The sequence below is a fragment of the Homo sapiens genome, chromosome 8 (genome assembly GCF_000001405.40).
Source record: "Homo sapiens chromosome 8, GRCh38.p14 Primary Assembly".
NCBI lineage: Eukaryota > Metazoa > Chordata > Mammalia > Primates > Hominidae > Homo > Homo sapiens.
In genome coordinates, this window is record NC_000008.11 from 27,715,007 (window position 1) to 27,742,757 (window position 27,751).

A 27,751-nucleotide genomic window follows, 5' to 3' on the forward strand; every position below is an offset into this window, starting at 1 on the left:
ACTCCTGGGCTCAAGCGATCCTCACACCTGAGCCTCCTGAGTAGCTGGGACTATAGACACAAGCCACCATGCCTGGCTAAATTTTTTGTTTTTATTTTTTGTACAGATGAGATCTCTCTATGGTGTTCAGGCTGATGTCAAACTCCCGGCCTGAAACAATCCTCCCATCTTGGCCTCCCAAAGTGTTGGGATTACAGGCATCAGCCACCCTGCCCAGCTCAGGTTTTTTATTGAAGGCTCTAAGTCCAAAAGCCTAGAATGCCCACCTCATTAATTTCATCTTTACATTAATCTGGCTTTTATTTTCCTTAATATATATACTCATTGGACCAACTCCCACTCAATCTCCCATAGCTGCTGCCACTTCCCATCCTATGAGGCTCCCACTACTCACCCTACCAGGGCTCTGATACCTTGCACTGGGCTGCCACCACCAATGCTCCACATGGATACCCTCCCCGCCCCACCCATGGTCCAGCACTCCGCAGCAGCTACTTCTCCACACAGGAACTCTCCTTACCTTACTCAGGCTCTGACACCCATGCTGGGAAGCCCAGCCTTCCCACTTCGCACCTAGATAGATGATAGATAGATAGATAGATAGATAGATAGATAGATAGATAGATAGACACACACAGACAGATAGACACAGACAGGAACAGACAGACTGACAGATAGATGATTGATAGACACAGGCAGACAGAAAGGTAGAGACAGACACAGACAGACAAACACAGTCAGACAGACAGATAGTAGACAGACACAGGCAGAGATAGATGATGGATAGATAGATGACAGATATAGATAGATAGATAGATGATAGATAGATAGATAGATAGATAGATAGATAGATAGATACATAGATAGATAGATAGAAAGAAACATAGACACATAGAAAAATAGAAATGCAAAGGGGTATATGAGTGTATCTCTACTGAGAGGGCCTGAGAGCAGCAACACTCCAGTAGAAATAAGCATGCCTGGCCCTGACATCTTGGTCATTTGACATCACTCTTAGGCTGGGTGCAGTGGCTCATGCCTGTAATCCCAAAACTTTGAGAGGCTGAGGCAGGAGGATCACTTGGGACCAGGAGTTCAAGACCAGCCTGAGTAACAGAGCAAGACCCAGTGTCTACAAGAAAAAAAAAAGTTTTTAATTAGCTGGGTGTGGTGGTGCATGCCAGTAGTCCCAGCTACTTGGGAGGCTGAGGCGGGAGGATCACTTGAGCCCAGGAAGTCGAGGCTGCAGTGAGCTGTGATTTCGCCATTGTACTCCAGGCTGGGTGACAGCAAGATCTCTCTATATAAATATCTCTTTATATATATATATATAAAGAACCAGGAATCTATGAAGAAATGACTGGTCCCAGAGCTGGGCAGGGGAAGTACAAGATGAGCCTGGAACTTTTTCTTTTAAACCAGAAAGTAAGGAAATGCTCAAAGAAAGATGGGAACATGTTGAAAGGACATAAAAGTTAGCTTCAAGGGGCTCCTGCTACTCAAATCTGGAACAATTTGAGCATCAAAAATTCATTGGATGAAATAGGAAATCTAATCTAAGTAAAGAAACAAGCAAATACATGGAAAAAGTTATTTCTGATAATAAAATGCCAACTAATAAATGTAGACAGAATGGTAAAGTTAAAAAGACATCACTTTACAGTCATCGTAGTATTAATTAATTCAGGCAGAAAAATCAATGGATGCTAAAACTAGTACGTGAAAGTGGGATAAGAAATAAGAATAATAACATAGTCTCAAAGTATCACCATGCCAAATAGCACTTCAGTACAAAATGGGATAGAGAAATTTACAGTGGAGAAATCTGGCAGACATCTTCTTAATTGATTAAAACGAACACCGCCAGGAATGGAACAAATCCACATCATGTGAAACCTCGTAGGGCATGGTAAGAAGAACACGGCATCACCTTTGTAATTTCCCTGCCAAAGAAATGCATAATCTGGGTCTAATCGCCAGAAAATAGTGCAAGAATCTAAATTTCAGGATCTTCTACAAAGACTGGGGTGTAATCCTAAAAAAAAATGCCAAGGGCCTGAAATTCAAGGAATCCCCAAGGACCTGCTCCAGAGTGAAAGAGACTAGAGAAATGGGACAGCTGGGTGTGACATGGAACCTGACTGGGTACTTTGCTATAATCTCATTAGGACAATTGGTGAAACAGAAATGCAGTCTCTAGGTGAAGTTCTTTGCAAATTTCCTGGAAGATTAAAATAGCTCCACAATAAAATTTCATAGCTAGATACAGATACAGATGTGGGTATAGCTATAGATGTGGGTATAGCTATAGATGTTGATGCTGATATCAATAAACATGAGAACGACACCAACGAACAACATAATACAAGTGGTAACCTACAGCAGCAGAGTGGGAGAATGGAAGGAGTCAGGCATGGGGCCCAGACTTCTCAATGTACGTCTTTCCATGTAATTTTTATTTTGAACTATATGATTGTATTAACTATTCAAAAAATAGACCAGGCTCAGTGGCCCCCACCTGTAATCCCAGCACTTTGGGAGGCTGCAGCGGGCAGATTACTTGAGGTCGCGGGTTCAAGACCAAACTGGCCAACATGGCTTAACTCTGTCTCTACTAAAAATACAAAAATTAGTCAGGTGTGGTGGCACGTGCCTGTAGTCCCAGCTACTCGGGAGGCTGAGGCAGGATAATCGCTTGAACCCGGGAGACAGAGGTTACAGAGATACAAGATCGCACCACTGCACTCCAGCCTGGGAGACAGAGCGAGACTCCATCTCAAAAAAAGAAGAAGAAAAAGAAAGAAACCAATTTTAAGAAGTATAAAACATGGCTCTTACCATGCCCCTCCTCTTCCTAATGCCTTAGCACGGCGTTAAGTCAGTTAGTCTGTCTGACTGTCTGTCTGAAACCTTCCTTGTTGTTCTCATTTCCAACCGCATCCTCTCAATCCTACCTCCCCAGACTCCCAGGTGGTATTATTACCCCCAAACATTTAGGGATGCTTACTGTGTACTCCAGGGTGTGCTGAGCAGTCCGCACACGCATGGCCTTATCTCATTTCATGCTTTTCCATCCTGTGGCCTCTGTTCTCTGCCAGACTCTGCCCAGAATGCTTCTCTACAACCTGGTGAGTTCTGAGCAATCCTTCAAATCCAGATCAAAAGCTACCTTCTCTGTGGAAAACTCCCTGGCCCAGGCCAGAGAATTGCCCCCTCCTCTGTGCTCGCAGAGCACTCTGTCCTCTGGTGACTGGACTGCTGTGGATGTATCTGCCCCCAGCAACCCGAGGATGTCTTTGAGGAAAGTTATTAACTGGGTGCTCAGGCAAAGCCTGAAATGATCAGGTGTCTCGTGAACATTTGCCTAATTTATTTGGATTGAAAAAAACAGTCCCCAAAACATTAGGCCAGCAGTGAAGACCCTTCCTGGGCAAAGAATGGGTTTCAAATGAATTTGGGAGTCCTGTGACTCTCAAAACTTCACAGACCCCCAGTGCCCAGAAGTGTGAAGACCTCGCACTCCAGCTCCATGGTTTTTAGAATGCAAGCTGGACCAATGGAAAAACTGCAGGCTTTTTGGGGATGGGGAAGTATTTATTGGGAAAACTATCTAAAAACAGTGGAATAATTCATTCAGGCCACAAAAGATGCAATATCAGATATGGAGATGTAGCTTTACCAGCTGAAGACACAACAGGGGTGAATGCTCTATGTATTTCCATTAGGACTAATCAGAATTTCAAAATACCCAGATGACTGCATAAAAGCAAAACTTGCATGCGTTTATCCTCCCTCTCCTTCTTGAAGGTAATGTATGTGTCTGTATTCTTATAACTAATTTCAGAAACACAGAATGTAATTCCTGTGTCCTTCTTTTGAAAGTGAAAAAACAATGATCACTTTCTTTCCCTCTAAATCACTTAAGCTCCGGGAAATCCAACAGTCTCAAGACGTAAATAGAGGATATGTCTAGAATCTTAGACTTTAGCAGGCATTCCAATGCAAAAACAAGCTACTCTGCCTGCAAGAAGAAATGCAGGCTCTTCTATTTTGGGAGACTTTAAGAACGTGGAGGTTTTGACAAAAGAGAAATAGCAGCAAGCTTGGTCCTATTCACACAAGGAGAGAGAAGGTGGCAGAATGAAGATTATCCTTTGTCAGAATGAAGGTAAGAATGGAATATTACACAGACACAAAAAAGAATGAGATGATGTCCTTTGCAGGGACATGGATGGAGCTGGAGGCCATTATCCTTAGCAAACTAACACAGGAGCAGAAAACCAAATACTGCATGTTCTCACATGTAAGTAGGAGCTAAATAATGAGAACACGTGGACGCATAGAAGGGAACAACACACACTGGGGACTTTCAGAGGGTGAAGAGTGGGAGGAGGGAGAGGATCAGGAAAAATAACTAATGGGTTAATGGCTTAATACCTGGGTGATAAAATAATCTGTACAACAAACTTCTATGACAAGTTTACCTATGTAACAAACCTACACTTGTACTCCTGAATTCAAAATAAAAGTTAAAAAAAAAAAAAAAGGAATGAAGGTAAGGTCTAGGCTGTGTGACCTTGACCAAGCCATCTTAGTTTTCAGGGTATCGGAGTTCTCATCCATTCAATTCTAACAATAGCAAAGGAGTCGAAAAGACTAAACAACACTGCCTCTGACACAGGAGAGGTGCTTGGTAAACATCCTATTATTTATTCCCCTATGCTGTTGATTTTTTTGCAATTGAAGAAGCAGATGTAGTAATTGGCAAACTAATTGTCTCCCTTCCCAACTGTCTTTAAAGACCCAATCCTCCTCACTTCTTTGAGACCTCTGTCACCAAAATGTCTTGGGGTCTAAAATAGAAAAGATGCAGCTCTAGAGCCCTGGGAATGACTCATTGATTATAATTTACTCTGAGAAGTGCTAATGTACAGGAATTACAGAAAGCCAAGGAACACAGAGAAAAAGCCCATGACTCACCCTGCAGCTGATCAGGGAGAACTTCCTGAAGATGTTGGAGCTAAGTCTTCAAGGACAAACAGGAAACGGCCAGGTCAGAGGATGGGGAGGGATGAGGGCTTTTCCCCATAAAATAACTGCAGTTGGAGAGGTTATGGAGATTATAGGAGATGTGGGGTGCTTCAAGGCTGGGTGCTCGAAAGCTAGGTGAGGAAGGATACCTCACCCTCTCTGGCAAGTAAGAAACAGGAGGGTGCTGAGCAAGTCTGAGTGGCGAGGGGAGGCCATTCTGTCTCTGCCCAAGATCAGGTGGATCCTGATTTTGGGAAGCTTGAAGCTGATATACTCTGGCAGGAGTCTTTCTTTAAGAAGACTCTTAAGTAATGTAACATTACAAACACGAAATTAGAGATTGGTCTGGGAAGGGGCTGTGTAAGTCAGGTGACCCTACCACTTAAGCTTCATCAGTTTCATAATAAACTCATCTCTGCTAACTAAGACTCTTACCCCATCTTTCACCCACTATGCATGTGGGGCTTCAGAAAGAGTACTGGCTTAGGAATCAGGATCCTGGTTCTAGTCGAGTCTCCATCACCACCTGATCAAATTAGGGTATATTTCTGTTCCAGCTGATCTCTAAGGTCCTTTCTATCTCCATCCATCCATCCATCCATCCATCCATCCATCCATCCATCCAGCTATCCATCCATCCATCCATTCATCCACCCATTCATCCATCCATGCATCCATCCATCCATTCACCTATTTATCCACTCGTCCATCCATTCATCCACGTATTTATCCACCCACCCCTCTATTCATCCATCCATTCATTCATCTATCCATTCGTCCAGCCTTCTATTTATCCATCCAGTCATCCATCCATCCACCTATTTATCCACTCACCCATCCATTCACCCACTCAGTCATCCAACCATTCATCCATCCACCTGATTATCCACTCATTCATCTATTCATCCATCCACCTATTTATCCATCCATCCATCTATCCATTCATTCACCCACCCATCCATTCACCCACCTATTCACCCAATCTGCCAATTCATCCATTCATGCACCTATTATCCATCTACTCACCTACTCATCTATCCATCCTTCCATCCATCCCTCCTTCCCTCCCTCCCTCCCCACCTCCCTCATTTCATGAGTAAGGCCATTTTAAGAACATCCAAGCTTCTTACTTTTTTAGAAGCTCTATTCCACCTCACATCAAATGCAATAAAATTTACTCATATTATGCATTAAATAAATATACATATATATCTGTATTTGCTGTAAAATTTTGAAGTTTTTAGAGACTTTGCTTTCAAAAATTTTATTTACTCAACCAATATTATTGAGTACCTACTATGAACCGGGCACTGTTCTAGGCATTGGGGACAGAGAAGTAACAAACATTTCAGGTCTTATGGAACTTATTTGGGGTTGAGTCCAACAAATAGATAGAAAATATATACAGTATGGTAGATAAATGTCATGGATAAAAATAAAGCAAGAAATATAAAGAACAAAAGAATGAGGCAAGATTGGTTTATTGTCCATGAACAAGGGTTTTTAAATGGTTGGTTCTGGCCTTTAGAGTGATAAAAGACAATTGAGATTCATCCCAATGGCCTCAAGTTAGATGGTGTCGGTGAGACTGAGGTGGAATGGGGGTCTTGCCAGGAACACCCAGGACCCTGGAACTCACCCTTAACTTAGGGATAATGCTGATGTTTGGCTTTGAGCAACCCAGTTTACAAATGACCATGATTCCTCAGTAATCAAAGTGCACTTCCAATTTACAAGTCTAAAATGAAATAAGGCCAGGTGCAGTGGCTCTTGCCTGTAATCCCAGCACCTCGGGAAGCCAAGGCAGGTGGATCACTTGGCCAAACTCTCAAACAGGAGTTTGAGACCAGCCTGGGCAATGTAGCGAGATGCCGTCGCTACAAAAAAGAAAAAATACAAAAATTAGCCAGGAGTGGAGGCATGCGCCTGTGGTCCCAGCTACTCAAGAAGCTGAAGTAGGAGGATTGCTTGAGCCTGGGAGGTCAAGGCTGCAGTAAGTTAATGATAGCATCACTGTGCCCCAGCCTAGGCAACAGAGTGAGATCCTGTCTCTAAATGAAATGAAATATTTATGAATGCTAAATCTAGATGTAAGGATGATATGGTAGCATGACATTTGTAGACATTAATTAAATATGTATTCGATTGTGGTTTCTATTTGAATCTAGAAGCCAGTACATTTTTCCAAGGTCTCATACATTTTTTGCATGCTCCTGAAAAGCTTGCAAGTATTGTGCAAATGGACTAACTGTCCTTTTGCACAGACTCCCACACTTGGGACAGGTACTCCTGTAGATGTGAAGATGCATGAAGACACAGGCAGCCTTGCCCACAGAGAGCTCATGGTTCATGTTCACAGCTACTCTGGGCTTCTGCATCTATAAAAAAAGAGGTCAGATTCACCCCATAGAATGATTGTGAGGCTTCAACAAGATCACCCCTGGCCCTCACACAGACCTCCAAACCCTCGTGCCTCCATCCATAGTATCCACAACATGTCTTCTCCAAAAGCCACCCACAGTTCTCTGCTGTGCTCTGCCCCTGGCCATTGGCCTCAGACCCATTCTCTAATGGCTCTTGAGCTGCTGTCAGAAAGCCCTACTATCCCCAGCCTTATCACTGCAAATTTCCATTCATTTTCAAGCCTTTTTCTCCTTAGCCTTTCTCCTTAACCAAAGCAGCTTTCTCCTATCCATCTCCCCTCACCATAACATTGTATGGCCAAGTAGGAAACCACGCCTTGTTTTCTGCTGCTTCCCCAGACTGTTACCCACCATTGACACTGAAGGTCACACCATCTGGTCCTGTTACTTTCTCCAACAGGGTATCCCTTTTCTCCTAGTGACCCCGGCACCAGGTCCACTTGTCCCTGACTTCAGGTGATATGGCCGCCCCACCTGAACCCATCTCTCCCTCCCACCAGCACACTGGGCTCCCTCTTCGGCAGCAGGCAGCATTGCTTCCCCAGAATACATCCCAACATCAACCACGCTGTGCATCTGCTGCTTAGTCTCATACTTGGTGGTGGCTTCCCTTTCCTTCCATAACCCACTTATCTCTTGGACAGATCCCCAATCACGTTACTTGTCCCATTTTCACCTGTCCATACATTTTTAAAATATATATTTGATTTCCTTCTTGCGGGGCCTGGAGCCCCTCAGCCCCTCTGATGCTGCCCCACAAATGACCTGAACTCCTTGAAGTTCACCCCTGAGCTGATGCATCCACAGCCCTGGGCTATCTTGTTTTCTTTCTTCTCTCCTGTTCCTTGGCTCCGAATTGGCAGGTGGAGAAAGTTATCATTCCATGCTAAATGGACCGACTACAAAATTGTTCTAACTCTACCACTTCCTTTTGGCAACCTTCTGATTCATTTCTTGTAAGAGTGAGCTTTTCGTCACGCACTGACTGTCTCAATCTTTCCCCTTCATCCTTAGAGTCTTAATCTCACTCCGACTGCTGATTTCTTACAAATTACTTCATCTACCACGTTCTGGAAGCCAATCATTAAGAGCTTTGTCCCAGTCGATCCCTTCTCTGTACTAAAAATACCTCTTGTCCTCTCCAACTCCTAGCTTCCTGGCCCAGATGACGGACACCCCAGGTACTGAAAACTTGTCAGTGGAGATTTCTCAAGTGTTATTTGTGAACTTTGAGCAACCATGGAAAGCAAGACTAGGTATCAAAAAGTGCAGTTCTTTTTGTTGTTTGTTTCAGAGACAGAGTCTCGCTCTGTCTCCCAGGCTGGAGTGCAACGGTGCGATCTCAGCTCACTGCAACCTCTGCCTCCTAGGTTCAAACGAGTCTCCGACCTCAGCCTCCCGAGTAGCTGGGAGTACAGGCACGTGCCACCATGCCGAGCTAATTTTTGTATTTTTAGTAGAGACAGGGTTTCACCACGTTGGCCAGGCTGGTCTCGAACACATAGCCTCAAGTGATCCACCCGCCTCAGCCTCTCGAAGTGCTGGGATTATAGGCGCAAGCCACTGCACCTGGCCTGGAAAGGGTAGTTCTTATTTTCCAGAGGTCAACAGTGAATTCCCACAACTCTCGGCTTGATGACTTGCCATCAATCACAGGCAAAATTATAGAAACCAAAGGGCTGCTTTATGTTATTTAGAAAATAGTACAGCAATTACTAGGAGTCAATACAAGTTCTCAAAGCCTCATTCCTTTTTTATTTTTTATTTTTGGCAGGGTTGCTAGACTGGTAGATCAGGAAGACGCCATAAATATATTTTATCTGGCTCTAAAGCAAGGTTGTTTTTTGACAACCATGTGAGCAAGTAGGAGAATATAGTCCAGATTAAAGTAAAATCAGGAGGATTAAAACTGGTCAAGTGTGGCCGGGCACAGTGGCTCAAGCCTGTAATCCCAGCCCTTTGGGAGGCCGAGGCGGGCAGATCACAAGGTCGGGAGTTCGAGATCAGCCTGGCCAACATGAATTCTGTCGCTACTAAAAATACAAAAATTAGCTTGGTGTGGTGGCAGGTGCCTGTAATCCCAGCTACTTGAGAGGCTGAGGCAGGAGAACCGTTTGAACCCGGGAGGCAGAGGTTGCCGTGAGCCAAGATCGCACCATTGCACTCCAGCCCTGGCGACAGGGCAAGACTCCTTCTCAAAACAAAACCAAACAAAAAACTGGTTAAGTGTGCCCAAAGAGTGCTAAGTAATGGATTAACCTCAGTCAGAAGGGATGTTTGCTGAAGGCACTATTCTGAGACCTATCCCATTCTTCCAAATTTTGGGGGGTGACAATATAGAAGGAATATTTACAAACATGTACATATATTTGTAAAAGGAATTATGTTCAAGGAAATAATGAGAACCATAAATAACTCAATAGGCAGATTCCAACTAGATGTCTTTGACAGAGAAAATTCATCAAAACATAATATTGACTGAAAGTAGCAAGTCATAGAAAAAACATTACAATAAGATTCCATGAATGAGTTTCAAAATAGGAAGAATCGGTGGTGGCTCACACCTGTAATCCTAACACTCTGGGAGGCCAAGGTAGGAGGATCACTTGAGCCTAGAAGCTTGAGACTGCAGTGAGCTGTGATTGCACCACTGCACTCCAGCCTGGGCAAGAGAGAAAGACCCTGTCTCTAAAACAAACAAACAAACAAAAACAGGTTGAACTAAACAGTGTATTATTTATAGAAATACACATCAGAGATAAAAGATATGAAGAAGAAGCAGATGATTATCACAAAATTCAGGAGAGCTGGGGGGAAGCCAGGCATGTGATTAGGAAAGGGTGCAAATGGGACTTTGAGGAAGGATGGGTGAGTACTGCTCTATTTCCTAACCTCAGAAATATAACATATAATATTTATATTATATTTATATTTATATTTATATTATCCTTGAAAATGAACATATCTTTTCATACACTCTTTTGTGTGTTTGTTACATTATATAGTAAAAAGAAATTTTAAGGAATAAATCTAAAGTTCTATACCATGGTCCAAACCACTGCCCCCTCCAAAAAAAAAAAAACCAGAATAATCTAATCAATACAAAGTGCAGAAAAGACAGGGGATTTAATGGGTGGTGTAAGTCAGAGTCAGGTGTCTAGGCTACATTTGGAGAATTGTCTCTACCCTATTCCTGTGCAGGCCAGCTGGGATCATGGTTGGGTTCATGGCTGGAGTCATGGCTGGAGACCATGCACAGTTCAAGAGCTGCTCCTTCCCTGGGAGTAAGCCAAACAGGGAAGAGTTGGGGGGTCTTGCCCCATGGGATGTCAGAAGCCATCCTCTGTCCGCAGATGCCTGCTTTTCCTGCTGTCTCGTTGGATCACAGAGAATGGGATGTTTAGGGGCAGTCACAGGTGGCAGCTGACAGCTGTCTTGAAACTTTTTAAACTGTCACATGAAAAGATGAATTCAACTTGTACTGTGTGGCTCCAGAGGACAGAGCAGCAGGTAGAAGTCACTGTGAGTCATGAGCTCCCGTCTCTGGATGCATTCATGCCCAGGCTTAGGTCTTCTGTTTAGGGAGTCGCAGAGGTCACAGTTAGGTCAGCTAAGATGACCCTTAAAGTCTCTTCCAACCTCCACAGGCTATGAGTCTATGAAACCTGTGCATGACATGCACAAAGGAAACATAGAAGCACTTTGGGAGCCCGTGGCAGGAGGATTACTTGAGCCCAGGAGTTCAAGACCAGCCTGGGTGACATAGCAAGACCTGCATCTACACAATTTTTAAAAATTAGCTGGGTGTAGTGGTGTGCATCTGTGGTCACAGCTACTCAGGAGGCTGAGGTGGGAGGATTGTTTGAGCCCAGGAGTTCAAGGCTGCAGTGAGCTATGATTGCGCCACTGCTCTCCAGCCTGGGCAACAGAGCAAGACATTGTCTCTTAAAAACAACAGCCAGGCGCAGTGGCTCATGCCTGTGATCCCAGCACTTTGGGAAGCCGAGGCGGGTGGATCACAAGGTCAGCAGTTCGAGACCAGCCTGACCAATGCGGTGAAACCCCGTCTCTACTAAAAATATTTAAAAAATTAGCTGGGCTTGGTGGCGGGCGCCTGTAATCCCAGCGACTTGGGAGACTGAGGCAGGAGAATTGCTTGAAACTGGAAGGTGGAGGTTGCAGTGAGCTGAGATTGTGCCACTGCACTCTAGCCTGGGCAATAAGAGCAAAACTCCGTCTCAAAAAAAATAAAAAATAAAAACAGTTTATTCTGAAACCAAAGAGATTTGATTTTAAATATGAGCATTGTGCTTTGACAGTATTTATTTATTTATTTATTTTTTGAGATGCGGTCTCACTCTGTCACCCAGGCTGGAGTGCAGTGGTGCGATCTTGCCTCACTGCAACCTCTGCCTCCCAGGTTCAAGCAATTCTCCTGCCTCAGCTGGGATTACAGGTGTGTGCCATCACACCTGGCTAATTTTTGTATTTTTAGTAGAGATGAGGTCTCACCATGTTGGTCAGGCTGGTCTTGAACTCCTGACCTGCAGTTATCTGCCCCCACCTCGGCATCCCAAAGTGTTGGGATTACAGGCGTAAGCCACCGCGCCCAGCCGACAGCATTTATTTTAAAATGAAATGGGCCCTCCCTATGTTGCCCAGGCTGGTCTCGAACTCCTGGGCTCAAATGATCCTCCTACCTGAGCCTCCCAAGTAGCTGGGATTATAGGTGTGAGCCACAGCACCTGGCTCAGTTTGCCTCTGAGATCAACACGTAGTATTGGTTTAGAAGAAGATTCAGGCACCTTCCGCCCACATTTTTAAGATTTCAAAGGCAAAGAGCTTTGAAACCCCCCTTGAAGCACAGCTTTTTGTGAGGTGCAGCACTTCCTGTGTCCAGCCTTCTCAAGGACCGCTGAACCTCCGCGTGATGCGCGCCGAGACCAGGGTTTACTCTCTCCTGCCACCTGCTGGTCCTTCGCTGCATCTCTTCTTTCTCTAGGACACTGGTGGTATCCACACTGGATAATACTCTGTCACCTAGAGTTCCTTCCAGTGGCTCATACTAAATCCAGGAAAATCAGAAATTCACAGATGATGAGGACTGGAGAAGACCCAGAGCTCTTTCTAAACTGGGCTCCGAGCCAGAGCTCTCCAGAGCCCTTAAAAACTGATAGCTCCTGGACAATGGACAGCCCACAGACAAACCTTGTTTGGCCTATACAATATTAAATAATTTTGAGCCAATATATAAAAATTTGGAAACTTTACCTAAAAAATCTAGATTTGTAATGTTATGTTACCGGGTATTCATGAAGTCTCAAAGCAGAGAGCAAGAAGGGATTCTGGTTGTAAGACACACAATGCATGATATACAGAAAGAGAGCCAAACCAATCACCCCAACAGCTCTACAAGATGTGACAATTTAAAGGACTGCACTGAAGGGAATCCACGGGCCCAGGAAGGGAGAGCTCCACTCTTCCAATCCTACTACACCAAGCTGAATGAGGAGCCTTCTGGAACTTGGCGATGGGCCGGGGGTGGACAGATCCTGCTTCTCACCTGGATAATTCTTAAGGCAGGACACAAGCTAGAGCTACCCACAACAGCAAGTTGGGGAGACAGTGGTAGCAGCTGGCCAAACTGGACTTGCCTCATTTAGCAAGTGGTTTCCCTCGATCACAGGGAAGCAATAGCAGAAAGCTGGGTTCCAGGTGAGAGCTAAATTGTTGAGACTTCACCGACGAGGGCTGCTGGCAAAGTGGGCTCAAGTCTCAGAGGTGGCTGCAGGTGTGCCCTTTGTGACTGGGAAAGGGTGTGAGATTGTAAAGACCCAGTTGGGAAGCGCATTCCAGGATCAGACAACTATGGCACTGACAATCCTTACAGCGAGCCTGAAGAACCCACAAATGGGTGGAAAAGAACCAGCCCTGGGGCCTCTGCTGCAGTGGGGCTGCCAACAGCCAGGTTGTAAGAGTGCCCGCCATGAAAGACTCTCCTCTTTTTCTCTGACTCCTGCCCTCTGCCCCTGTCCTAGAGGATCCAGCGGCTAATCCTCCCTAAACCCACCTTCTCCAGCCTCCACTCCCATTCTGGAGGGGCCGTCGCTGGGGAAGAGGAGGACCATGGGGCATTCTGGAAGAGGCAGGGTGAAGTATCAGATGTGAACCAGGAGGTGAGCTGAAGTTCTGAATTATATGTGAGATTGAAGTTCTGATTTAAATGAGAAGAACTTTTCATATGTAAAGGGAAATTGTCATTGTAAAACAGAACAGTTCTTGGCTGGGCGGGATGGCTCATGCCTGTAATCCCAACACTTTGGGAGGCCGAGGTGGGAGAATTACTTGAGCCCGGGAGTTCGAGGCCAGCTGGGGCAACATGGAGGGGGCCCCACTGTACACAAAATTAAAAACTTAGCTGGGTGTGCTGTTTAGTTAAGTGGTTAGTAAAGGTGGTTAGTAAAGGCATGGTGGCATGTGCCTTTAGTCCCAGGTATTTGAGAGCTTGAAGCAGGAGGATTTTGAGTCTAGAAGGTTGAGGCTGCAGTGAGCTGTGATTGCACCGTTGCACTCCAGCCTAGGCAACAGAGCAAGACCCTGTCTCAAATATATATAACAATTCCTGTATTGGAAAGTGATCAGGAAATCATGGAATCTGATCTGTTCATCCAAGATGGCATCTAAGGGCGGGGAAGAGAATTCAGAGCATTGTTGAAGAAAGTGGGAGAAACAAGCAACTTCCTTTTTTCGGTCCTACCAAGTTCAGCTCTTTCAATGCACTTTACTCATTGACTTCCCTTATAAAACTCCATTTCCCCACAACTGAAGCAGCTGCCCTAAAGGAAGAGCTATGTGCTCTCTGGCTCATCCCAGCCCCCACAGCTCACAGGATGTGAGCCACTTTCCTCACCCTCCCACAGGTGTTACCTGCCCCTGCAGCACCAGAATGTACAGTCCTGCTCTAGCTCTATTCCTCATCTCCCAGTGGGCAAATGGAGGCCCAGGGAGGACAAGTCATGCATCTAAAGTCACATAGAAAAGGAGCAGAGGCCAGGCACAGTGGCTCACCCCTGTAATCCCAGCACTTTGGGAGGCCGAGGCGGGCGGATTGCCTGAGCTCAGGAGTTCGAGACCAGCCTGGCCAACATGGTGAAACCCCGTCTCTACTAAAAACACAAAAATTAGCCAGACGTGTTGGTGGGCGCCTGTAGTCCCAACTACTCGGGAGCCTGAGGCAGGAGAATCGCGTGAACCCGGGAGGCGAAAGTTACAGTGAGCTGAGATCATGCCACTGCTCTCCAGCCCATGACAGAGCAAGACTCCATCTCCAATTTAAAAAAATTAAAAAATTAAAAATATAAACAATAAAAGGAGCAGAGCTGTATCCTAAATGCACACCGCGGAAGGTAGAGTCTAGGAGTGGAAATGGTGTGTGCTCCCTTTCCTTCAGTAGACAGTGCATTAAATATCCTCACCCACACAAGAGCTCTTCTCCCATCCATTCTGATGGGGTAAGAAGAGGTGCCAGGGCCCTGGGAAGCTCTGGCAGGCTGGGCGTGGGGAGAGGATCAAAGGGGCACTGGAGGTGCCTGGGGCCAGTCCTGTTCCCACCCCCTCGCACCTGCAGACACTCCCACTTCTGCCCCACCCTCAAGCACAGGGATGAAAGCAAACAGCTTTCTTCTTTGGGTCATTCTACATGGAGCTCAGATTTTAATTGGATCAGAGGAGCTTATTAAGAAACCATTCATCCTGTAACTCTGTGTCCAAATAGAGGCCCGCTCAAGGGTAGGGACACCAAGTGGCTCCTAATCTTCTTGTTGGTCTTCATTTCTCAACTCATTATCTTCCCCTCAGCCCCATGGTGTGGGAATGCGGTATTTTCTCTTGGATTACAAGCCCCAGGATGCAAAGGCAGAGAGAAGCCCCTCCCCCTTCCCTGTAGCTGAGCCACTGCTTCCGCCAGGCCTAGAAGCAGGCAGAATCCCCAAGCTCAGCTGAGTCCAGAACAAGAGCTTCTGCCTTTGATTTTTTTTTTTTTTTTTAATCGGGTCTCACTCAGGCTCAGGCTGGAGTGCAGTGGTGAGATAACGGCTCACTGCAGCCTTGACCTCCCAGGCTCAAGCAATCCTCCCACCTCAGCCTCCTGCGTAGGTGGGACTATAAGGCGACTGCCAACAACCTGGACTTTTTTTATTGTTGTATTTTTTGTAGAGATGGGGTTTTGCCACGTTGCCCAGGCTGGTCTTGAATTCCTGGACTTAAGCAATCTGTCCCTCTTGGCCTCCCAAAGTGCTGGGATTACAGGCATGAGTCCACTGCCCCTGGCTGCCTTTGATTTTTAAAAAGGTAACGCTGATTGGCCCCAAGCAGGGGAACTGGAAACACTTTCACCCTATTCCCGTTTATACCTTTTGATTCTGCACCATGAGTACCTATGCCTGTAAATTTTTAAAAAATTAATTATTTTGTGGAAAAGAAAAATTCTTCCTGATCCCAAAGCCCAGGAGATCCTGGGGGGCCACTCCTCCAGGACCTCCTGGGCTTTGGGGGCGTTAACAGAGGGCCTGCAGGGAGGAGGCAGCAGCTAAAATGAGGGGAGATTTGTGTGTTTTGTTTACCCGCTTTTATCTTTTTTTTCTTTTTTTTTTTTTAAATAGAGACAGGGTCTCCCTGTCCCCCAGGCTGGAGTGCAGTGGTGCTATCACAGCTCACTGCAGAATCAAACTCCTGGGCTCAAGCAATCCTCCTGCCTTGGCCTCCTGAGTAGCTAGGACTATAGGAATGCCTAGCTAATTTTTATATTATTATTATTATTTTGTAGAGAGAGGGTCTCAGTATCTTGCCCAAGCTGGTCTTGAACTCCTGCGTTCAAGTAATCCTCCCGCCTCGGCCTCCCAGTGTTGGGATTATAGGATTGAGCCACTGCACTCTTCTGCCTCAGCTGTTGATGTAGGCAGGTGGATCACCTGAGGTCAGGAGTTCGAGACCAGCCTGGCCAACATGGCAAAACCCCGTCTCTACTAAAAATAAAAAAATTAGCCAGGAGTGATGGTGCGCGCCTGTATTCCCAGCTACTTGAGAGGCTGAGGCAGGATAATTGCCTCGGAGACGGAGGTTGCAGTGAGCCAAGATCTTGCCATTGCACTCCAGCCTGGGCAACAGAGCGAGACTCTGTCTCAAAAAAAAAAAAAAAAAAAAAAATGCTGTTTGGTAACCAGATTTAAGCTTTGTCTATTTCAGACCTTCCAGCTGATTCCAAAGACTCTCCTAAAAGCAATTCCAGTTTTGAAATGTTATGTAAGCCTCACTGATGCAGAGTACATAAAATAAAATATGAACTTCAGAGTTTGGAAGGGACATTACATGAAGACCAGGGCTTCACAGTGGAAGACGATTCTGGCAAGGCTAGGCTGGTTCCAGGGCACTGCACGGTACCCCGAATATTTTCTCTTTTTCAGTCTGTGGTTTTCATCTGCTGACCCTGCATTGTGTCTTCACCAAGGGTCAAAAAGCTTCAAGTCTGACAGATCAGCCTTTACCACCTGAAAGATCCCGGTTCTCTTCTGAAATCATAAGCAAATGTTAGCCTTGTCTATGGATAGCAAACTGCTGATGCAGAAACCAAAACACCAGCAGGAGCCCAGGCAGCTAAGGCCTCATCCAGGCAGGATGTGAAATGTCAGGCCATTTGTCTTATATTTTCACTGCAGTGGTTACAAGATGGGATTGATGTTGGAACAAAACACAACACTGACTTTGGAGAATTCCTTGTGTTTTTTTTTCAGCGTTAAATATTGACACCCACTCACCAGGCTTGAGAACTAGAAAAGCTACATGGATTTCTAGAGTGAGCAATGATTTCCTCTGGCCGCCATTCCTTGCCAGGTCGGTGCCACTCAGCACATGCCAAGGGCAGAGACCAGTTTCTTGTTTCATCTGGCTATGGTGTAGACCTACAGTCATACCGCTAAGGTAGAAAGCTCACAGCCCCTCCAAAAATTGACACAATAATGAAATCAGAAAGACAAAACTAAGCAATCAATTTAAGACAGAAAAAGAGGTATGTATAATCTAATGATAAACCCAGGTTAAAAGATGGCATTGGGTAGGTATTTGTATTTTCACTGCACTGCTAAGTCACCTAGTATATACACACATCTCTAAATTTTTCTGTATAAAAATTCTGGATTCAAACTACATTCCCTATATAGACTAATTTACTTAAACATTTAAACCCCAGAACACTAGCAGCTAAGGGAGTTAAAACCAATGGATGCAGGTATTGCCCTGACTAGAAATGCAAACCAAATGTGCTCTGGTAAACATTTAAGAATTCAAATATGCTTTTACAGCTGGGAGAAAAACTTGTATGTTTGTGTGGCTCCTCTGAGCCTAAAACCTCCCTGCAAGCATTCTCACAATAGTGTAAACTCTATCATAAAAGAGGTGAAAATCTATCAACAGAACACAACCCATAGCCCTACAGTCATCCATGAAACCGCCCAGGAAGTCTTCACATTTGCAGGCTTGCCTTGGCCAAAATTTCAGGCAGACCCCCAGGAATTTTGGGAGAGCAGAGGGTCAAGCTGTAAACTCCAAGTACTAGTGTTCAAATATTGTGGCCTTTCAGCTCTGGGTTCTTCAATCCTCCTCCTGGAATTCTTGGGCGACCTTCCCTTTACTAGGATTTGCTCCTCTCCTCCTGCTGTGACTGTGTGAAGGGCAGGCATCATCACATGGGGAGCCAAGTACCTCCGTCTCCCCACTTGCCTAAAACAAGCAGGCACATCCCATCAGTGAGACTGGAACTTGCAGGAGAAAATAAGAAGTGAAATCTCTCTCACACACACAGTTCTACTCAAACTATAAGCTTTTATTATTGTATTTTACAGATCATTCATTCAGGACATGCTGCATCTGGGGTTGGCATCATTTCCCTTTTGAATGACAGAATGTGCATAAAAGTCTCTTGCCCACGCTGAACTCACACGTGCCCGGCAGGAAGGAGCTCTCACGAAGTGCCAGCTGGATGTGAGCTTGCTCTGGCAGCAGCAGTGCTGTCCTTGTTTCTGAGCTGCCACCTATTCACTGGAGTTAGGTGGGTCAAAGCTGAAATTTAGCTTGGAATTTAAGTTTCTAATTTTATACTTTTCATTGTGGTCTGGTCAGATTTTAGTCTGCTTCAAAATCAAAAGGTCACTCAGTCACTCTAATATGATCATTTTGAATATGGAAATTTGTTATTTACATGCTGTACCTCAAATCAAAGAAAAAGCACGCGTCAATATCACGCGTAGGAAAAACTAGAAAATTGTTCCTTTTCCATTTTGCCACCCTGCTCAGTTTTCCTCATAAACGGTTCCAGCTTGGAAAACAAGAGCTTCCCCTCTCAGACAGATGCAGCAGCGGGAGGAAGGGCTTTGGTCTTAAACTAGAAGCTGCAGCTGAAACTCTCCCCGTCTAATCCTGCTGTGTGTATGGCTCACACCATCTTTCCTGAGTGGGGAAAACCGCTGGCACTGAATAGCTGAAAGGCTCGCTGAAATCTGTGCTTCAAGAACGAGTTAAAGACAATACAATAAAACACATAGACACTGAAGGGGTTCAACTAATGTCCATCACTTATTCTGCTAATGTCAGTGCCTTTCAATAAACTTCTCAACATCTGTGTTGGTAAACTTCTCAATATTTGTTCTAGCCCAACCACGGTGACAAAGCTCCCTTGCCCAAAGATCGTGAGCCTAGACAAAGGTGGATAAGAAATATGAAGTCTAAAGCTATAGAATATAGCAGTTAGTGAAGTAAATTAAACATGCCCCTCGCCTGCATGCTGATCAGAGTGTTGAAACTGAAGACGACATTGGCAAAGTGACTCAGACCCACAGCACAGATTTGATCAAGGGCACAGCTCATAAAAATAGCAACAATTTCGAATTCTCCTATCCAACGTTTAGGAAACAATCCAATGGCAAGAAATGAGAGGAGTTCAATGCCAACAGTTTGACCTGTGGGCAATCAACCTATAAGTCCTCAAAAGAAAATTTCCTTGCTTTCCCTGGGACCAACAGAGATGGGGAAAAAAATAAAACAAAGAGGCTGCAGGGTTAGGGGCATAGGAATCAACACAGAGCTATGAATTCAACAAGAGAATTCAGCAGAGACCTGGACATTTTAAACCAGTGTAAGCTGAGTTAGGAAATGTTTAAAGTTTGAGCCCCAGGACCTCTCATACTATAGTAAAAATATATGTATTTTTCAAAAGCGCTATCTACATGTGTTGCAGTGTGAGGTACAGAGGAATTCTGTAGAAGCCGGACTCCTTGGAAGTATGGAAGGAGCACAGCTACGAATACATCTGAGATGTATCAAGAATACATCTGAGAAAGGACATCCCTTTGACCCAGTGAGCAGCTGGAAGAAAGAGGCATTTAGCAGAGGAGGAGAAAGATGATAGCCCCGTACAGAACCTGTCAGACTGAGCCTATGATGAATGAGGTTTTTTAGAGCAAGATCACCCTCAAAACCAGCTTGTGGAATGGGGGCTACCCTTTTTAATAGCAAATTCTAAGAATTCATATATCAATGTCCTTCCAGATTAAAAAAATGGTATTTTATTATAACTTTTAAAATTGCGGAACATCAGACTGAATATCATCAGACACATACACAAAACCACTCATCTCTAAAGTCATTTTCTATACCCTCTCAAAATTTGGCCAGTGAGTTTTGCCTCAGGGAATTTTCCAGTTCAACCCCATACACCAACATGGAATAAATGGAAACACTAGCCTTTTGGTTTTGCCCACAGTTCCAAAGTGCTATTACAGGTGGAATATCTGCTGCAGGAGGTCATTCTTGCTGCTGTGGGTGTGAGTAAAATGCTTAGTTCCTTCTAAAATCATAATTGCAATATGGACTTCTGCTTCACGCTGCATCCTAAGGCACAAATCAGGTAACCTACATCTCCCAAATGATCAACAGAGCACTCCATCCTATTTTACCCTCAATGCTGAGAAATTACTCCTGGGCCCAGAAGTTGTCACATAGGTGGCTTGGGTTACTTGGTGCTCAGGCAACAACTGCCACAGGCCCCAGCTTGATGAACACCATCAATTTCTTTAAATATGTTGATACTAAGATGGAGGCCTCTGCTCAGAGGAAGCAAGGACGTAAACGCTGGGACAGACTGCACTGAGGGTCACTACACTAACAGACCCAGATGACACGATGGAACATGAATACTGAAGCTGACAATCTTCTGAAAAATCTCTTTTTCAAAACCCATACGCCTAATCGAGAAATCAGGGACAGGGAAACATTCGCATAATTACCCACCAACATGTTCTTCTTAACAGAAGTGAAGATTATTTTAAGAATATGAAAAGTGTTTCAAGACATCTGTTTTCAGGGATAGACCAGAGCAGCAGAAGTACTTTTCAGAGCTGGTTCATTTTAAAGTCTATCTCAAGAACAAGGGCAGCCTGCTTTCACAAGGTACCAAGACATGTTCTGGCAAAAACATTTTCACTTTAAGTTATATGCTGTCAAGTTCAACTATTTTATACATATCTGATCCTTTTCTGTCAGCAAAAAAGGTACAATTTTTTTAAAACTTGAAAATCAATAATTTCTGGGTAGGATGAAGGTAGAATTTTGGTTGTATTTTATATTTCAGAACACAGATGAAACCAAAAGGTCTGCAATTGTCTCTACATTCACATCTTTCAAAGGTCCTTTTCTCCTTTTCTCCTTTTACATGAATTCATCTGAATCATTGCCATCCTGTAGGAAACACAAAAATGAGAACATAAAAGCCTTGAAAATAATTCAATATTTAAAATTTACAATTATCTTAATTAGCGAGCTGCCTTCTCATCTCAGTCACTGAGTTCAGAAAGTAAAATAACTAAATTGACTCATCACTTCTCCGCCTTAAGTTGTCAGTTTCCTGACATAGCTGAATTAACAGCTATATTTTGTGAGGTGTCATTACATGGCCTGATTACACAGCAGTAAGTGACCACTGATCTCTAAATAATGCAGTAAGTCCCACCTGACCTAGTATAGTGCAAAACAAATGTGACTGTAAGAAAACATGACAGATCCTTCAACAAATGTACCAAGCAAACACTGCCTCAATGTCCTCATGCCAACAATTCTGCCAATATGCAAACTGATTCTGGCCTAAGTTCCAGTAATTTGAGCCTCAACATTGTCACAGATTTGTGACTTCACAACATGGCTTTGATCTCTTCTTCTTTTTTAATAGGAAAGGCCATCAGGAAGTCAAACATAGGCTAGTTTACCAACTTAGTTGGTTTGCCACATTTTTTAATTTAAAAAACCTGCATAATGGTATACAGCACAAAGGGACTGATTTTATTGTGTGGCTTACAAGCAAGTCCTGAAGGCCACACACAAAGGTAGAGCCCTGACTCCTTTTTGGACAACATTCACTAAGAGTGTGCATTCTGATTTGCTTGCCAATGTCACAATCTGAACACTACAGTTGTTTTATCTTTTTTCTCTTTCCCATTGCTTAACACCAGCATTGTTAGAGAAAGGGATCAGACTAAGGCTTATCTAAATGGCCCTTATTAAAGATGGTAGAGAAATACGATATGGGTAGAAAACATTGGTTCCTGTGAAGTCTGGTTTTAGCTCCAACTTCACTTAGTGGTTTTCTCTGTGGTTCTCTTCCATTAGCACGATGAACTGAAGCCAAGGTAAAAATGCCTTCGATAATTGTACAAAGAACAGACTAATGATTGTGTTATATCCAGGCGCAAAGACTATGATTGCCCCAGAGTCTTAATCTGAAATAAAAGCAGTAGCAATGTTTGAAAGAGTCATTTAGTATCTTCAAATGCCAGCTTTAGATCCCAAACACTGAGGATGAACAACTCAGTAAGACAGTCTGGGTTGTCATCAACGAAAGTAAGCCATTCCCTATAAAGGCTGTGAGTTAGATGTGCAGAGTCCCCACTTGTCTGGGGCTATGTTTTGGAATTACAGTAATTATTCTTCTTGATGAACCTGTATATGCTAAATTAAAACTTAAGTCCTATATTACATAAACACTTGCCTTTAACTTAAAAATCAACTGATCACGTTCTAAATTGGATCATAAAACATCTGTATCACTTACACTTCTTCACTGCTGGTGGGAATGTAAACTAGTACAGCCACTATGGAAAACAGCAAGGAGATTTCTTAAAGAACTGAAGTAGAACTACCATTTGATCCAGCAATCCCACTACTGGGTATCTACCCAGAGGAAAAGAAGTCATTATTCAAAAAAGATACTTGCACACACATGTTTACAGTGGCACAATTCACAATTGCAAAATTGTGGAACAAACCCAAATGCCCATCAATCAACGAGTGGATAAAGAAACTGTGGTGTGTGTATACACACACTCACACACACACACACACACACACACACACAAAGGAATACTATGCAGCTATAAAAAGGAATATATTAACAGCATTTGCAGTGACCTGGATGAGACTGGAGACTATTATTCTAAGTGAAGTAACTCAGGAATGGAAAACCAAACATTGTATGTTATCACTGATATGTGGGAGCTAAGCTATGAGGATGCAAAGGCGTAAGAATGATACGATGGACTTTGGGGACTTAGGGGGAAGAGTGGGAGGGGGGTGAGGGATAAAAGACTACAAATATGGTGCAGTGTTTACTGCTTGGGTGACGGATGCACCAAAATCTCACAAATTACCTCTAAAGAACTTACTCATGTAGCCAAATACCATCTGTACCCCAATAACTTATGGAAACAAAACAAAACAAAACAAAACACAAACATCTGTATCCCTTAACAGAAGACGGTTACAAGGAGAATTAGTCTATTCTTTTAAAGTATGGAGAAAAACTAGGAAAACATTTTCACTGAAAGAGAGAATAAAAACACCCAGTGCAAAACTTCCTTGGAATCTTGAACTTGATTCATACTTGGAGCTCAGGAACAGGGGTTGCAAGCAACAGAGGGAGAGTTAGGGTAGAAAGATTAGCAATCTTTTGGGCTACAAATTCAATTTCCTAGTCTCGGGACTTTTAACATCTGTCACTGATCAGATGGTGTTTGTATATGTATGTATGTAGGTCGGTAGGTAGGTGTGTGTGTGTGTGTGTGTGTGTATTTGTTTATTTCTCAACTCTAGAATTATATACAAGCTTTAAAAATCCAAAATGATGAGAATAAAATGACTAAGGTCATGAAATAATATGGGGGCTAGATTTCTGGTGGAAAGTGCCTCTAAAACACAGAAAACTTCAATAAGCAAAATAACCACAACAATGGCATCTGAGTTGTGGTATGTTGAAGACTACTGTTTAGTGTTAAACTGTTCCAATAGTTTCAAGAAATCTAAAATTAGCTTCCAGAAAGGATTAAACACATCTCATCTTTTCATAATGATATTCTGGAAAAACAGCAACCAAAGACTATCTGGATAAGGTATGACTATTTACAAAGTAGGTCAAGGAAGACTTTCACATCGATGTGTCTTTGCTTCAATTCTAAGCAGCCCTGTGAAATAATATGTGTCCATTTTACTGATGATGAATACTCCCTCAGAGAGGTTAAATGACTTTATTAGGATCTAACCCAACCACTGTGACAACGTTCCCTTGCCCAAGGGATGTTTAATCCCCCCCACCTCAATTAGCACATGACAGTTAAGTCTCTAAACTTCAAATTCAAAGCTCTATTTAATTTAATAATGCTATTCTGGAATTTTTCAGGAATAAATTATAAAGAAACATCTCTGATTCATAAAGGAGCCTCGTACATTTAGTTCTTCATAGAGATGGGAATAAGAATGTTGTTCTTACAAATTTTTAGAAGAATATGTAGATATAAACAAGATGTAAAATCCTATTACTTCTAATTCATGCACTAAATCTGAGGTTTGACTAGATGACTTGTAAGGGATCTTAAATTCTGTTACAGTTGGCCCTTGATTTCTTTATCTGTGAATTCAACCAACCTCAGCTCAAAAATATTTAGAGGAAAAAAACAATTAAAAAAATACAATAAAAATAATATAAATTAAAAAAATACAGTATAACAACTATTTACATAGCATTTACACTAATTAGGTATTATAAGTAATCTAGAGATAAAGTATATGGAAGGATGTGCATATGTTATATGCAAATACTACTCCATTTTACACAAGGGACTCAAGCATCCTAGGATTTTGGTAGCTTCGGGGAGTCCTGGAACCAATCCCCCATGAATACTGAAGGATGACTATATTTTTAAACTATACTATAAAACATGCAAAATCCCAAATACATCCACCCAGTTTCCATTTTCTGCAGACTGCTCAATAGCAGCTAAATTGTGCTATCTCTAGACACTTCAAGATAAATTTTGGGAAAGACAGCCCTCAAGGACAATAATTCTCTGACATAGTTCCAATCAAATAATTAGACGCAATGTTAAGAAGATCCTTTCAGTACTATGTCATAGGTCACCATCTGTTTCTATCCCAGGTCCTAAGGAACATGAAAACAAACAATTTTGTCACTTAGGCTTCACTGAGTCACATAAGATCTTAGGGTAAGTTATTTTAATTGAAGGTGATAATTTTGTTCTCATTCAATTATAATATGGACTCTACAGTCACAGTGATAAAGAACACTAATAAATAAAGGCACTTTTGCATGCCTGCAACCAGAAAAGAGGGGAAATAAAGAATAAAGTCCTGTAAATATAAAATGAATAGACCTGTACGCCACAGTAGACAAGCTCTGACAATCTCTTTCCCTGAGATGACCTACTTAACAACACAAATGAGAAAGTCCACAGGGAAGGAGGTGCAGTGCCTAAAAGAATCCAGCCTGAGTGGTGTCCTGGTTGCCAAATCATGGTTAGCTATTTGCAACATGTAAGGCAATAATGGCCAGTAACACAATTATTAAAAACCCTTAGTGAATTATTTCAAGGCAAACATTCATGCAAACCACTTGAACATACCTGATTTGAAGACATATTTTCAACTTTCATTAGTGATGAATAGCTCCTAGAAGGAAAAAAACACACACACACATTTAAAATATGGTGATCCAGTCAACAAATATTTGATGAACATTTCCTGTGTATCCAGCACTGCTCAGGGGCTTTAGAAGAAACACAAGAGCTATTAGATATAATCTCTGCACTCAAGGAGATTGCAACATTCAAAGGATGAATATTTATAAACAATAAAAAAGATGTGCACAGCACTTTATAATTTACAAAGTGCTTTCTCCTACTTGTTTCATGTCACCACCTCCACAATAACTTGGCGAGACAGGTGGCATTATTCCTACTTTTCAGATGGGGAAATTCACCTACAGCCAAGATCTGATAAGATTCACAGCTGAGGTATACAGCTCAGATTGTAAACGCTACAGGAATTCAAAGGAGGAAACACATCAGTGTGGGCAGGAGCTGTCAGGGCACCCTTCACAGACAAGGCGGAACCCAAACCAAGCCAATCAAGTGGGCAGGATGAGTGAGGGGGCATTTCAGATCCAGAGAGTGGGATGAGCAAAGAGACAGAGATGGTATCTTTAATGACTTGCTGAATATCCAGCTAACTCAGGTAGGTTCTCAAATAAAGTAGTGGGAAATCAGGCTGGATGTGGTGCCCAATTATGTTGTCTTGATTGCACGACTGAACACAATGTGTTCCGCAAGAAGCCATAATACACAACTGAGTAAAGCCATAATGAGGTTCAATGGGCATTCATTAAATATCCATGTGCATAAGACCCTGTGCTAAGCCTGGGTAGAGGATCGGATGAGAAGAAAACAGAAAATGATGACTAACACAAAGCCTGGACCCACAGAACTTACTGGGAGGGGAAATAAGACTTATTCATCAATAACTATGGTGAAAAGCACTATTAAAAAATACACGGCTGGGGGCAGTGGCTCACGCCTGTAATCCCAGCACTGTGGGAGGCCAACGCGGGCAGATCACAAAGTCAGGGGTTCGAGAGCAGCCTGACCAATGTGGTGAAACCCCATCTCTACTAAAAATACAAAAATTAGCAAGCGTGGTGGCGTGCACCTGTAATCCCAGCTACTCAGGAGGCTGAGGCAGGAGAATCACTTGAACCTAGGAGGTGGAGGTTGCAGTGAGCTGAGATTGCACCACTGCACTCCAACATGGGCGACAGAGCAAGACTCCATCTCAAACGACAACAACAACAAATACACCAAGAGACAAAGGAAAGTGAGACTACATAATACCAATGTTTTGAAAAGAATAATCTGTAGCAAACAAGATTAGAGAGGTGGTTAAGACAAGAAGGTCCATTCACAATAACAGTATTTACCAGAGTATTTTAAGCCCATTGTACAAAATAAGAAAGCAGAGTCAGGATGGTTAAGTAAGTTGTTCAAGGTCTTAGAGATAAGAAGATATGCCAGGTTTTGAACCCAGGTCAGACTCCTAAGCTTATACTCTTATCAGGCCACAGCTTATTGCGATACTCCAATTTGAGGGCATGAATCCCTGGAGTTAACAGCTGTAATGGTAAGAAGGAATACAGAGAAGAAACAACAATGACATCAAGGTTTGTAGCTTGGGCAATTTGAAAAAAATAGGAGAAATGGGAAAATGTTGCAAAGAAGATGTGCCTGGTTTGAGACATGCCGCATTTGAAGTCATAGTGAGATACCCAAGTAAATATGAACTGTAGAAACTGAAAACTGAAGACCAGTGGGAAGGAGAAATGTCACAGTCAAAGATAATGAGTTGGGAGACACCCAGAGGGAGAGACCAGTAAGTCTTTCCCTCTGGAGAGACTTGTAAGCTTGTAAGAGTTAAGTGGTATCCACAAGGAATTAAAACAAAACAAAAACAAACAAACAAAAAACAGACAAGATCAACAGGTTGCATGAGCAGGAGGAGAAAGACATGTTGATGAAACAAAAGTGGTGAGAACAGAGAATGTCAGTCCTGACTGCATCTGAAAATCACTTGTGAAGATTTAACTGGATCCATATGCCCAGTTGTGGGGATCTACCCAGGCTGAAGAATCACTGGGTCAAAATTCCCATCTATGTGACAATGATGCACAAATTTACCTTTCTTGGGCTGGGCACGGTAGCTCACACCTGTAATCCCAGCACTTTGGGAGGCCAAGGCAGGCGGATCACTTGAGGTCAGGAGTTCGAGGCCAGCCTGGCCAACATGGTGAAACCCTGTCTTTACTGAAAATATACAAAAATTAGCCAGGCGTGGTTGTGCATGCCTGTAATTTCAGCTAC

The 27,751-nt window shown here is 43.3% G+C and overlaps 2 protein-coding genes across 11 annotated transcripts in view, besides 2 other annotated features; one reads left to right on the plus strand and one right to left on the minus strand.

The window, feature by feature from the left end:
• SCARA3 (scavenger receptor class A member 3) overlaps positions 1-19,135 on the plus strand; it is a 100,679-nt gene extending 81,544 nt beyond the window's left edge. Inside the window, exon 7 of one of the 2 annotated variants that reach the window (XM_017013536.3) lies at positions 18,350-19,135. In XM_017013536.3, coding sequence (XP_016869025.1) covers positions 18,350-18,405 — 56 coding nt within the window. In that variant the 3' untranslated portion in view covers positions 18,406-19,135. Of the gene's footprint in view, positions 1-3,925; positions 4,527-18,349 lie in introns of those variants that run through there. The other variant, XM_017013537.2, reaches the window with a different exon arrangement.
• Positions 12,181-12,420: an enhancer, noted in NCBI's record as "active region_27154". NCBI's record gives its function as "activates an Ori minimal core promoter by ATAC-STARR-seq in GM12878 lymphoblastoid cells {active_cell/tissue: GM12878}" and the evidence as "EXISTENCE:reporter gene assay evidence [ECO:0000049][PMID:35858748]".
• Positions 14,647-15,187: an enhancer, noted in NCBI's record as "H3K27ac-H3K4me1 hESC enhancer chr8:27587170-27587710 (GRCh37/hg19 assembly coordinates)". NCBI's record gives its function as "activates a minimal SCP1, AML or CMV promoter by ChIP-STARR-seq in naive H9 embryonic stem cells {active_cell/tissue: H9 hESC(naive)}" and the evidence as "EXISTENCE:reporter gene assay evidence [ECO:0000049][PMID:30033119]".
• The window catches only part of CCDC25 (coiled-coil domain containing 25), a 39,325-nt gene continuing 29,883 nt past the window's right edge, over positions 18,310-27,751 (minus strand). For 7 of the 9 annotated variants that reach the window (NR_130762.2, NR_156432.2, NM_001304532.2 and 4 more), the window contains 2 exons: positions 25,466-25,511; positions 18,310-21,239 (listed from right to left, as the gene is read on the minus strand). Coding sequence is in view for 6 of the 9 variants with exons in the window: in NM_001304532.2 (NP_001291461.1) it covers positions 21,210-21,239; positions 25,466-25,511 (76 nt within the window). In the remaining 3 variants the exon portion in view is untranslated. The remainder of the gene's footprint in view (positions 21,240-25,465; positions 25,512-27,751) is intronic. The other 2 variants (NR_130761.2, NM_001304530.2) reach the window with 1 other exon arrangement.